The 14,353-nt window shown below is 35.7% G+C and overlaps 1 protein-coding gene and 1 pseudogene across 2 annotated transcripts in view; one reads left to right on the top strand and one right to left on the bottom strand.

Annotated features, from left to right (window-relative positions):
• The window catches only part of ITFG1 (integrin alpha FG-GAP repeat containing 1), a 306,856-nt gene that overhangs the window by 191,818 nt on the left and 100,685 nt on the right, over positions 1-14,353 (top strand). For both annotated transcript variants that reach the window (NM_001305002.2, NM_030790.5), the window contains exons 11-12: positions 8,734-8,884; positions 10,689-10,797. In NM_001305002.2, the coding sequence (NP_001291931.1) occupies positions 8,734-8,884; positions 10,689-10,797 (260 nt within the window). The remainder of the gene's footprint in view (positions 1-8,733; positions 8,885-10,688; positions 10,798-14,353) is intronic.
• On the bottom strand, positions 5,709-6,731 carry LOC100422275 (proteasome 20S subunit beta 5 pseudogene; annotated as a pseudogene).

Here is a 14,353-nt window from a genome sequence, read left to right as displayed (position 1 = left end):
AATCCTCCTGTCATGGCCTCCCCAAAGTGCTAGGATTACATGTAGGTGTGACCCACTGCACCCAGCCAGTATTTTTAATTTCAGTTTCCATTGTTCTTGACTATTGTATTTATATCTGCCACCTAGCCAAACTTACTGGTTCTAGTAATTTTTTCCTAGATCTCATATGATTTTTCTAAGTACATGGCCATATAACTTGCAAATAAAGACAGTTTTACCTCTTTCTTTCCAATCCGGATGTCCTTTGTTTTTCTTTCCTTTTACAATGGCTAGAACCTGTATATTCATTGCTGAGTGGAAGTGGTGAAAGCACGCATTCTTGCCTTGTAAGAACAGGGACCTTAGGAGGACAGCATTCAGTCTTCCACCATTAGTATGATGTTCACTGTAGGTCTTCTGTAGATGCCCTTTACAGTGTTGAGAATTTTTCTTCTATTCCTAGTTTGCTGAGAGTTTAGATCAGAAATGGGTTTTGGATTTTGTCAGATCCTTTTTCTGCCTTTTATTAGATGATTGTATTATTTTCCTTTTTTTCGTTTGTTAAACTAATGAATTACACTGATTTATTTTTGAATATTAAAGGAACTTTGCATTCCTGCAATAAATTCAACTTGGTCATGATTTTAGTAATTATAATATTCCTACAGTGTTCACTTTGCAAGATGCTGTGTTCACTGAAACATGCTCTTATCAGAAATATGTCCTCTCTGTGTGATTGGCTGGTAATCACAGAGCAGAGACATGGTTCAAAAAATGCACACGTTTCAATGAACACTGAACTGTGCAAATCAAGATCTGACTGTATTATTGAATTTGATTGGCTAGAATTTTGTTTTAAAACACCGCATCTATCCTCATGAAGAATATTGGTCTGTAGTTTTCTTATGATGTCTTTCATTTGGGTGTTTAACACTGGTTTCACAGGATGAGTTGGGAAGTATGTCTTTCTCATCTATTTTCTAAAGAGTTTGTGTAGTACGTGTATTATTTCTTCTCTCAATATTTGGTAGAATTCATCAGTGAAGCCATTTCGGTCTGGAGTTTTCTTTTTTGGAGACTGTTACACTGCAATTTCAATTTATCTCTTCTTGAGTAAGCTTTGGTGTTTTGTGACTTCCAGGGAATTCGTCCATTTCATCTAACTTATCAATTGTATTGGCACAAAGTTTTTTATAACATTCCCTTATCATCCTTTTAAAATCCCTAAAATTTGTAGTGATGTTAACTCTGTCATTTCTGATATTGGTACTTTTTACCTTTTCTCCTTTTTATTTTTTTAATGGCCATTCTGAGTGAAGGCTTATCAATTTTATTGTTTTTTGCAAGAAACCAGCTTTTGTTATCATTGATTTTTCTCTATTTTTTTCCTGTTTTCTATGTCACTGATTTTCTCTACTATTATTTACTTTTTTCTCCTTAATTTACATTTTATTTGCTCTTCTATTTTTGGCTTTTAAGAAGGTAACTGAGGTCATTTGTTTGAGACTTTTCTTCTTTTCTACTATAGGTGTTTAATGATATAAATAGTCCTTTAAATACTACTATAGTGACATACAACAAATCTTGATGGCTTCATTTTTATGCAGCTCAAAGTACTTTCGAATTTTTCTTTGTACTCATGGTTTATTTAGTAGTGTTTTATTTTCAGTTTTAAAAAAATTTGGAAATTTTTGAAATAACTGTTATTGCTTTCCCATTTAATTCCATTATGATCAGAGAAAATATTTTGTATGACTTAAATTATTTTATATTTATTGAGACTTGTTTCAGAATCCAGAATATGCTCTATCTTGATAAATATTTCATGTTACGTCAAAAGATTATATATTCTGGTGTTGCTGGGTTGTGGTCAATAAACGTCAGTCAGGTGAAATTGGTTATTATTGTTTGAGTCTTCTTTATCTTCGTTGATTTTATGTCTTTTAGTTTATCAATTATTAAAAGAGACATATTGGAATCCGTGACTATAGTTGTGAACTTGTCTGTTTCTTCCACAGTTCTTTCAATTTTTGTTTCATGTTATTTGAAGTTATGTCATCAGGCCTATAAACATTTAGGATTCTTATGTTCTCTAGAACTGACTCTTTTATATGAAATGACTCTCTTTGTTCTGGTGATATTCTTTGTTCTGAAGTCTACCTTCTCTCTTATTAATATTGTCACTCCAGCTTTCTTTTTATTTGCCTTAACTTGCTATATCTGTTTTTAACCTATGTAAATAGTTTTGTTGAGATATAATCACTTGCCATACAATTCACCCACTTAAAGTATACAGTTCAATGGTTTTTAGAATATGCATAGAGTTATATAACCATCACCTTCAAGTTTAGAACATTTTCATTAACCCCGAATGAAGCTCTTACCCCTTAAGCAGTCATTCCCCCTTTCCTCCAATTCCCTCAGCCCCAGCTAATTACTAGTCTACTTTCCATCGCTATAGATTTTCCTATTCTGAACATTCCATATAAGTGGAATATATGTTGTCCTTTGTGACTGGCTTCTTTCACTTAGCATGTTTTTAAGGTTCAGCCATGTCTTTGTATAATAGATTCCTTTTTTGGCCAAATAGAATTTTGTTATATAGATATACCACATTTTGTTTATCCATTCATCAATTGATAGATATTTGGATAGTTTCTACCTTTTGATCCCTTTAAATACTACGACTATGAACATTTTTCCATATAAGTTTCTGTGTAGCCATGTTTTCATTTTCCTTGGAATATATCTAGGAATAAAATCCTGTGTCAAATTTTAACTCTATGTTTAATCTTTTGAGTAACTGCTAGACTGTTTTTCAAAGCTGCTGTACCATTTTACATGTCTCCCAACAGTGTATGAGCTTCCAATTACTCCACATTTTCTTGAACACTAGTTATTATCTATCTTTTTCTAAAAATTATAGCTGTCTGGCTGGGTGCAGTGGCTCACGCCTGTAATTCCAGTTCTTTGGGAGGCCCAGGTGGGCAGATCACTTGAAGTCAGGAGTTCAAGACCAGCCGGGCCAACATGGTGAAACTCCATCTCTACTAAAAGTACAAAAATTAGCCGGGCATGATTGCAGGCGCCTGTAATTCCAGCTACTCCAGAGGCTGAGGTAGGAGAATGACATGAACCCGGGAGGCAGAGGTTGCAGTGAGCCGAGATTGTGCCACTGTACTCCAGGCTGGGCAACAGAGCGAGACTCCATCACAAAAAAACAAAAACAAACAAACAAAAAAATTTTACCTGTTGTACTGGATGTGAAGTGTTGTCTCATTGTGGTTTTGATTTGGAGTTCTCTGATGGCTAATTTTGTTGAACATCTTTTCATGTGCATATTGGCTGTTCGTATATATTTTCGTATATATTTTCCTTGAAAAAATGTCTGTTCAGCTACTTAGTTCATTTTTTAAATTAGGTTGTCTTTTGTTATTAAATTGTGAGAGTTTCTTGTATATTCCATATGCAAGTCTTTTTCAGATATAATTTGCAAACATGTTCTCCCATTTTGTGGGTTGTCTTTTTGCCTTCCTTGGGGTGATCTATCTTTTATCACTGCTTTTACATCTTACCTATTTGTATCTTTATATTGGAGGCAATATATAGTTGAGTCTTCATTTTTTAATCCAATCTCACAACGTATGGCTTGTAGTTTGTGTGTTTAGACCCTTTATATTTCATGTCAGTATTGATATTGTCAAAATCTACTTTCTGGTTTTTGTCCTCTTTCTAAAGGTTTTCATTTAAATTAAGTGAGTATTTTTATGATTCTATTTTGTCTTTTTGTTGATTTATTCATTAGAAATCTTATTTTAGTGAATACTGTAGTGTTTATACATCTTTAACTTATCCTAGTCTATCTTCAAACAGTATTATAGCACTTCACGTATAGTTTCAGAACCTTTATGATAGTATATTTATATTTCTCCTCTTCTGGTTTTAGTGCTATTTTTATCACACATTTTACATCTACTACCTTATTAACACCATACTATGTTGGTTTTTGTTTGTTTAGACAGTTGATTCTCCTTAAATAAATTTAAATAATAAGAAAAAGACTTTTCTGTTTGCCTACATGTTTGCCATTTTCAGTGTTCCTTGTTTTGTGTAGATCTAGAGTGTCATCTGGTGTCATTTTCCATCTGCCTGATAGACTTCCTTTAACATTTCTTATACTGCTATAAAGAAAAATATAGACATAAATGACTACATAAATATTAAAAACCTTTTAGTGAAGGGTACCGTAAACAAAATTTAAAAAAAAAAAATAAAAGGCTGGGAAGTATTTACAACATATCAGGTAATAATAACAGCAGTACATAATAATAATAATAATAATAATAGCAGTTATTAAATGTGTACTGTGCTATACCAGGCACTATACTGAACACTTTACAATGTATTTTCTCATTCAATCCTTAGAACAGCTGTTTGAAGGTAATGTACTATTATGACTTCCATCTTACAAACAAGGATATGAGACTAACAGATAAGTGGCTAAAGTCTCTAACAATAAAAGATCTAAAAATCAATGAGAACATAATTTTAATTGGCAGTTCTTCAGAAAAATGTGAATGGCTTATAAACATAAATGTAATACTCAGCTGCTGTCATCATCAGAAGAATGAAGTTGTTTTTAAGCTCTTCAACTGTCAAGAGTAAGAAGCAATGTTACTAATACCGGCAAGATATGAAAAGACGCTCATACATTGTTGGAAATAAAAGTTGGTATAGCTTTTCAGAGACCATTTAGGTTTAACTGTTGTCATTTAAAATATCCATATCCTTTGACCAGATGACTGTCATCTGGAATTTCTCGTACAAGTTCCCAAAGAAAAATTTTCTCTCTATCTCTGTGTGTGTGTGTGTGTGTGTGTGTGTGTGTGTGTGTGTGTGTGTGTAATAGAGAACAGTTGGCAATAACCTGACCATCAATAGCATAGTGTTAAAATGAATGATGGCTTGGCCATATAATGGAATAACCATTGGAAAAACATGAGACTGTGTAGAAACAGGCAATTTGATAGGCTACTAATGGGAGACTTAAATTGGTACACCTTCTCATGGGGGATGTTTTCAATATAGGGATCAAAAGTCTTCAGTCAGACTATATCCCATTCCCTTTTGTGTGTGCTATATAATGTAGTGGAAAGAAAAATATTATAGAAAAATATATGTATCAGAACCCAATTAGGTTTTTTTTAAGGTTATATGTATTTACATATTTATATGTGCCTAGAAGAAAGCTTAGAAAGATGCATACCAAATTATTAACATTGATTATTCCTGGAAAGGAAGGATTTTGACTTTTTAAATCTCTCTATTGAATGTTATGATTGCTTTTGTAATCATTTTTAATAAAAAAATGTTTAAGATATATTAGTTATAATTGCCAAGAACACATAGAGAAACTGACTAAAAAGAAGCAAGACTGTTTGTCGCCAATAGTTTCTAAACCAAATGGGTAAAGGTTCTTCCTCCTTTGGCTTAAATCAAATTTTATTTTTAAAGGCAAGATGCTGGGTTCTACTTGTAGAGCTCTGTAGAATTTTAAAGAACTGAACTGTTACGAACCTCATGTTTCACAATACAGGACCAAAGTAGCTAGGGAGCTCTAAGACATTTGTAATCTTTACCAACTGATATCAAAAATTAAGAATGACATTTTATTCATTTATTTATGTATGTATGTATTTATTTATTCATTCATTCATTCATTCAGGTAAAGTAGTGAGTAGAGTACCTTAACATCCAAGAAAGTAAAATAGCCACCTCTGCAGCAGCTCATTAAGGACTGGTAACACATAGAGGTCAGTGTTCCACAGCTTTAAAAAAAAGTATTGATACAGTTGAAGACCCCTCCACTAGAGATAAGATGAAGCACTGTATCCATATTACCAATGACAGTCACCCAAGAAATGCAAACAGCTACATCACCCTCCCTCCTGGGGTAGATCCATCATACTTGTCATGAAGATCAACTGCATTGTCACTGGAGACTTGGATCCAGCCATCCTCCTGCACATGGTAGAGGTTAGCAGCACCTCCTGAGTAGGCATCTATGCAGGTGGCTTGGTAGATGGCTTGGTAGCTTACCTCATGGGCCAGATCATAGGCCTGCTCCATTTCCAGGTTATAGGAATAGCCCTGATTCATAACCCCATAAGCATACACAGAGCAAGAACCTACAGAGAAGGTGGCCCCTGAGATCTGATTCCCTTCAGTGTCCATGTAGCAGAGGCCAGGGCCTCTCCTATCCCAGCCACAGATCATGTTGCCTATGGACAGCCCCATGCCTTTGTACTGATACAATATGTTGTCAGGCAGCTTGGAGGCAGCTGTTACAGGGATGCATTCCTTATTTCAAAGCTCATACATTTGACTTTGCCGAGCCAACAGCCATTCTCAGAAGCTACAGTTCCCTGTGCCCCTAGCCATGATGGCTTCGGGTAGGGGTTGATCTCTGTCACCTTCTTTACCATCTGGAGGCAATGTAAGCACCCACTGCAGCCCTATAGTCTGCTGCAACTATGACTCCATGCCAGAACTTGAAGACCAGGGTGGTGATTCCAGGAAGCATTTTGATTCCCTGCTCCTCTGAGACTCCCCAGCTGGGCATGGCCAGCCTCAGCCCATCAGTGGGACTCCCTGGACCCAGATCCAGCAGATCTGCATAAACTGTGAGTCCAGAAAACCTGCACTGGTTCATAGCAGCCTCTCCAAATAGCTGACCAGTTCCATGTCTAGTGTGGGCAAAAGAAGGAATAACATTTTAAATTGCATGACTGCAAAAGGGTTTTTGTTGTAGGTTGTTGTATATTTGAAATTGTGACCAGACTTATAATAATGAAATATGTGCAGTAGTTTTGCAAAGGAAAATAAGGATGCATGCTCACTCAAATGTTGACCATATGATGCATAGATTATAGAATACTGTAGAAAGTCCGCTTTTATCACATGTTCTCATGTTTTAATACAATCTTCTAATAACAGAGTGTGCTACATCTCTGTGAAATATCTAGAAAAACTCTTTAGCTAAAAGGGTAGGATGGGTAAGTTACCAGGAAAAATTTTTATAAATTAGAATTTTAAAATTCATTGTTAGACAGGAGACAAAGAAGAAATCATTTATTCTTTCTAGTGGACAAATACTGTTCTATAATAGGTCATGAACAAAGTCACCTGAGAGTTTTCCAAGTAAATGTTATGGTCTGAAAGATTTTTTTCATTTGTTAAAGAATTGTTCTGGTAAACTATTTGTTTTGGAATTTTTCATCTGGAAAAATAGTTTGAATCCAATCATATATTTACCAGACATCATGCAAATTGAATATTTGGTACATTGGTTTCTATTCTGTGTTAAACGCTTAGAAATTTTGCTTTCTTATAATCAAACTCACCCAGAGCCACAGTAATATTTTTATATGAACAAAAGAAATCTCTATGTACTGATTTATTTAAAGTAATTATTAGAGGGCAGACATGGTGTCTCACACCTATTATCCCAGCACTTTGGGAAGCCAAGGCAGGAAGATCACTTGAGCTCAGGAGTTTGAGACTAGCCTAGGCCACATGGCAAAACCCTGTCTCTACAAGAAATACAAAAATTAACTGGGCATGATGGCACACACCTGTAGTCCAGCTACTCCGGAGGCTAAGATGGCAGGGTCACTTGAGCCCAGGAGGCAGAGAGGTTGCAGTGAGGCGAGATTGCACCACTGCACTCCAGCTGGGTGACAGAGTGAGACTGTCTCAAGAAAAAATGAAAAGTAATTATTATTAGAGAAAAATTAAACAATAATAAAATTTAGGCCGTATCATCTATTATTTTCTATATGCATAGAGAAAAGTGAAAGAATATACATATTTTGGGAAAATGCCTAGGAGCTATTACATAAAATAACACTTTACAAAGTTACTTCTGTATCTAAAGAAAATATTTTTACATGGCATTGTATTGCATTCTATAGTAAAAATGAAGATAATATAAACACTTTCATTGAGTACTAACTGGATGCCAGGAGTTGTTCTAAGTAACTTTCCTTGCAGTGTTTGATTTCATGTTAACAACCTATGCTCTAAGTACTCTTATTATACAGCTTACAAATGAGGATCTGAGTCTTAGAGGTTAAATAACTCACTCAAGGCCACAGAGCTGCTAAATAACAGAGCCAGGATTTGAATCTAGGTAATCTAGCTCCAGAATCTAAGCTCATAAATACTTTGCCTCTAGAGTAGGATTCAAGAGGGAAGACTTCATGGCTATGCAACGTATGATGCTTCTGTTATCTGAGAGATGCTTGGCAATATCTGCCCTACCACCTATGAGAGCAGCTGAAATTCTGTTGTAATAGATTCATTGCTTTGAGTTTATGAGACATTCTAGTTAAAATGTAGATATTCAGTGAAAAGTAATACACATCTAAACAGATAATGACAGTGTGCAGGAACTGAGGGTCAATAACTATAGAGTAGTAAATGAGGAAGAAGGGATGGACTTGGAAACTCCATAGAAAAGGAAAGAAGCCAGCAACCAACTAGCCTACAAAATCAGAGGATTTTTGCCAAAGGTTGAAAAGGGATAGCCAACAATTTTTTAATGACAGTACTATAAACAAAAAATGTGGAGATTTTTTCGTGTAATTTCACTGTGTACCGTTTACCGTCTCCTTTTAATCTAGGAAATACTACAGAGCCGATGCCACAGTGTTGATGTTTATATTAACGAAATGCCTTTCCTTTGGCGCACAGCAACCAGCAGGCCTTTTTACTGGAGAACGTCCCTTGTAATAATGCAAGCTGTGAAGAGGCGCGTCGAATGTTTAAAGTCTACTGGGAGCTGACAGACCTAAATCAAATTAAGGATGCCATGGTTGCCACCTTCTTTGACATTTACGAAGATGTGAGTTCAGAGCTGGGCTGTGTGTTTGAAGTTTAATTGCCTTTCACCTTGTCACACTTTAGCTTCATTCCATTTGACCAGAAAATGTGGACAACACAACAAAAAGCAAATGAGTTAATTAAGGAAAGCCCCTTTTAATGTTAAATGACAGATGAAACAAATCTATTGACAACATTGGCTGATCAGTACAGTCAAATATTAAAACTCTCTTACTTCATTTTGGGCATATTTGGATTAAACCACTAAAGCATCATGCTCTAAGACTGGCAGACCTGAATGTTCAACAGTAGACAAAATTACAGCCAACAGGCCGGGCGCGGTGGCTCACACCTGTAATCCCAGCACTTTGGGAGGCCGAGGCAGGCGGATCATGAGGTCAGGAGATCAATACCATCCTGGCTAACACAGAGAAACCCCGTCTCTACTAAAAATACAAAAATTAGCCGGGCGTGGTGGCGTGTGCCTGTAGTCCCAGCTGCTGGGGAGGCTGAGGCAGGAGAATGGCGTGAACCCGGGAGGCAGAGTTTGCAGTGAGCCGAGATTGCGCCACTGCACTCCAGCCTGGGCGACAGAGCAAGACTCCGTCTCAAAAAAAAAAAAAAAAAAATTTACAGCCAACAAATAACAGACCCTTGAATCTGCACAAGATCACAAAAGAATGAGTTTAGTGCTCAGTTTTATCTTTGTGACGCAGAGTAGCGTCTATTTCCACAGATTCTTGTGACTCTGACTGATTGCCAGGTGACCTTATGAAAGGCTTTAAGGTTCCAGTTTTCCCCTTTCTAAGGTGAAATGCCAGTTTACCGCTCTGAAAAATAATAAATTCTGAAAAAAGCAATGTTAAATTCCAGAATTAATGTATCACAGTATATCCTTGTAAGATAATTTATTTTTAAAAGTTAAGTGCCCAATAGGACATTTATGTCCCCATTTACCCCATTTTTGATTTTATTTTGTTTTTTATAAGAGACTTATTCTCAATTATATGAATTATTCAGGTCCTTGTTTTCCCGTTTCTCCTGCAATCAAATCTTGTGTTATTTCACTTTTCATTAGCAGATTCCAACCATAAAAGTAATTGACAGAAATATCACAAGGGGACAAAGCAAGAGAATTGACTACAAATCCATTTTTAATTTCTGTACATCAAAAATATGAATGAAATTTAAAATTGTTTTAAAACTGGGAAATAAATTTTCTATGAAAGTCAAATAGTTAATATTCATAATATAAAAGGGCTTATACAAACTGATATCATCAAAAATACTCTGCAAAACTAGAACATAGTTTACTACAAAAAGCCAAGTTGCTGACATATTTAAAAATATGATAAATGACCAACTTCATGAAAAGAATCAAAGGAATATCAATTTAAATAAGCATACATTTATTTCCTTCGACAAAATTAGCAAAGCTCCCTCCTTTTTGAAAGCAAATGATAAAATGCTGTGGTGGCAAGGGCAGATGAAAAGGTACTCCCCCTGATGGTTGGAAAGGGTCTGGCAGGTCCACATCATGGGCCTTTGAAACTTCATGCAAATTTGACTGGAAAGAAACATAGCAAAATGCTAATCATTATCTCCAGAGACTAAAATTACAGATGTTTTTTATTTTATTTATATTTTACTATTGAAACTTGGGTGTATATACTACCTATTTTTAATAGCGATTTTATTTTAAACATGAGGATGAATAAATAAGGCTACATTTACTTTATAAACAATATGCCATGCATTTTAATGGTCATTTTTTTTTTAGTTGGTCTAATAGTTTGTTCTTACCATTTTTGTTTGTTTTTTTCCAGGGAATCTTGGACATTGTAGTGCTAAGTAAAGGATATACAAAGAATGATTTTGCCATTCATACACTAAAAAATAACTTTGAAGCAGATGCTTATTTTGTTAAAGTTATTGGTGAGTAAAGTACTAACATTTAATTTTGTTCTCTTTCTCTTCCCCTCTCTCCACATATTCCAAAGAGCAAGGACATGCTCCGATGTACAACCCTCTAGATCAGATCAACCAGTACAGCACCATCCTGTCTATATACATAGACCCCATTCAGATTTCACCAGCTGTCCCAACAATATTGTTTTTTCTTTCTGGCCCAGGATTCTGTCCAGAAATATCTATTGCATTTAATTGTCCCATCTTTTCAGACTTCTTCAATCTGGACCAGTTCCTCAGTCTTTTCTTATTTTTCATGTCCTTTTCAGTTTTAAAGAATCCAGGCTTTGCATTCTGTGAGATAGCACTGTTTCCTCATTACCCAACTTAGGTCATGAATTATTTGCAGAAATTCCACTGCAAGGAGTTGCAGAATTGATGCTGTGCATTTCTCAGTGCATCATATCAGGAAGCACATGATGTTCACCTGTCCTACCACCATGATGTTAACCTTGTTCACCTGGTCACCTTGATGATCACCAAGTTTCTCTACCCTAAACTCACTGTTTTCCCCTTTGTAATTCATTAGTGTTTTGGGGGGCAATATTCTGATATTACATTAATAGGCTTTTCTTTATGAAACTTTTGCCTAGCACCCTTAGAGTACATTGACAACTCCCTGAATCAACCTTCTACATTTGTCAAATAATGATTCTCTATTTCCATCAATTGACATTCTACTGTTCATCTTGTACCCCCCTTGTCCCAAGCCTGGAATCAGACATTTCTCCAAGGAATCAGACATTTCTCTCTTTTAGTAGAGAACAGTATTTCAAAACCACATCCTGAAATGGTTGCCCAGTGTGCTCGTTGCTACTGGGTTGTCATTTCTTCCAGGTTCTCTCAATGGACACAGCTAGGAGAAAACAGGTATGGATTCACATATGTACATACAAGTCTACACATTTGTAACTATTTTTACATCTATTTACATTTGTATGAGCTAACTATAAAACCATGAATTCGTTGCAATAATTTCATTTTTCATCCAAATGGAGCACTTCAGGGTTCCTTCTAATTTCGTCTGTTTTTGTAGATATCTCTTCCAGCAGTGAGAAACGTGACTTCTGTTTTCCTCATTGTGTTACTTATTTTTTCATTGTAACCAGTTCCCACCCATGCTAGTAGTATCCTCCACCTGACCCCCATGTTTGTCATAAAGACCCTGTACATGTTTTGTTAAGTGCATGCCTAAGTATTTTATTTTCTTTAAGATGGCTGTAGAGGATATTGTGTTTTTAAGTTTTGCTTCCACATATTTTAGTGTATGGAAATGAAATTTATTTTTGTGTATTGATCTTGTATACAGTGACCTTGCTTGACTCACTAACTGGTTCTAGGAGGGTTTTTTGAAGATTCCTTGGGATTTTCTACATAGACAACTTCGTCTTCTGCAAAGAGAGATAATTTTCTTTCTAATCCCTATGTCTTTTATTTTTCTTGTGCTGGCTAGAATTTTCATTTACTATATTGAATAAGTGGTGAGAGTGGACACACTTGTCTTGTTTCCAGTGTTAAGGGGAAAACATTTTGGCTTTCGCCATTAAGTGTTATATTAGCTATAGAGTTTTTTGGTAGATGCTTTGTATCATATTAAAGAGGTTCTCCCTATTCCTACTTTGCTGAGAGTTCTATCCTGAACTGGTGTTAGAGGTGACTGTTTTTGCATTACTATTGTGATAGCCAACACCAAGAGACCCATGTTGATTTGTGTGACCAAAAAAGGCACATGTACTTTGTAGAAATATTTATTACAGTTTTGAAACAAGCATAAATAGCTGAACCCAGAAAAGCAACAGAACGTATTAGTGTTGAGATTTATTTTGAGAGATGAAACTGATATAACATGCATCCTTCCTTTCTAAACAGCAAATTCAGTCTTATTTGAGCTAAGAGTTTCACCTATCTTCATTATTACTGCAGCCACAAAATACTGATACATGAGTCTAATCATTTCTATACTTTTAATTATCCATGTCCTCTCTTTTGCCATTTTCAAGAAAGTATTATTTGGCTATTTTAAAGCTAAAAAAATTTAAATATACTGTTTATTTGGTATGATGTTAATTTTGGAGTTGAAGTACATTCCTTATCTCTGTCCTTCTTCAACTGGACACCTCTAGATAAGAAGGCAAGAAATTCTTAAAACTTTTGCTAACCTAATTGTGTATGTAATTAGAATAACCAAGTTCAGTTAATTGAAACAATGAGTATTGGAGTAAGAGTTTGGGATTTGATTCCTTAGGGATAAACTACTAAATCCAGGACAGTCATTTAACTGCTGCAGATTTGAGTTCCCAGGGGAACCAAACAGAAGTCACACAATTTCTAGGATGAAAACATCTCAAAAAAAAATCAGTCCTCCCAGCACTTCGGGAGGCTGAGGCAGGGAGAGCACTTGAAGTCAGGAGTTGAAGACCAGACCAGCCAACATGGTGAAATCCCTGTCTCTATAAAAAATACGAAATTTAGTTGGGCGTGGTGACGCGTGACTGTAGTCCTAGCTACTCAGGAGGCTGAGGCTGGAGCCTGGGAGGCAGAGGTTGCAGTAAGTCAAGGTGACATCACTGCACTCCAGCCTGGGCTATAGAGCAAGGCTCTGTCTCAAAAAAAAAAATAAAAAAATAAAATAAAATCAGTTATTTTACCTTTGCTCACGAGCATCATCCTTCTTGGTGAAAAGCAGCGTATTTTTAGTCTTCATTTATTTTAATATCACATTTAATCTCTCCTTCATCCATCCATTTCAGAATGCTTGGCAAGCACTCTGAAATCTAGGCTTATTTATTTGTGTCATTCACATTAACATCTCTCTTACTCCTAGTATGCTTTAATGATCTAAGCAACTTAAGAGCAGCCTCTGTCTTATTTGTCTTTGATTGCTGGGTGCCTAACACAGGGCCTGGTACATAGGAGACATTCAATAAATTTATGTCAAATAAATGTCCAGCTATCTTTTGAGGCATGGATTGGCTATCTTGATTAACAGTGTTCCCTTCTTCTCTAGTACTTAAGCAACACTTGATGCCTCTGACTCATCTGTGTCTCTAAGAAGCATTCTACCAAAATAGGTGAAACTCCAATTCAAAGTCAGATTTCCACCTTGACCTGTTTGCTGATATTAGGGACACAACTAAGTCAGTCATTCATTTCTTGAAAAGATTGAAATGCCTTTCCTGGTTTAACTTCTCAAGTCTACCCATCTTTTGCAGATTCTGTGTGACTAGAAACTCTAATTTACGTAATTTCTCAGGCTTACACCAAAAATGCACAGAAAGAGTAACACATGATGAGTGACAGTGAGTTTTTCCTCTCATTATTTTAATGGGCTCCTGTAAAACTAACTGTTTTGCTCCAACCTAGCATAAGTGTGATTTGCTTCAAAAATATACATTAAATTTAAATTAATAATTCTCTTTCAAAATATTGTTTTCTTTCTGTTTAATGAGATAACTGTGGGATTTTTCCTTCTTTCATTTGAATTTTGCCAGTGTACTTCAATAAACTTTTTTGAGACAGAGTC

Source organism: Homo sapiens, chromosome 16 (genome assembly GCF_000001405.40).
Source record: "Homo sapiens chromosome 16, GRCh38.p14 Primary Assembly".
NCBI classification, from domain to species: domain Eukaryota; kingdom Metazoa; phylum Chordata; class Mammalia; order Primates; family Hominidae; genus Homo; species Homo sapiens.
This window is presented reverse-complemented; position numbering and strand designations above follow the sequence as displayed.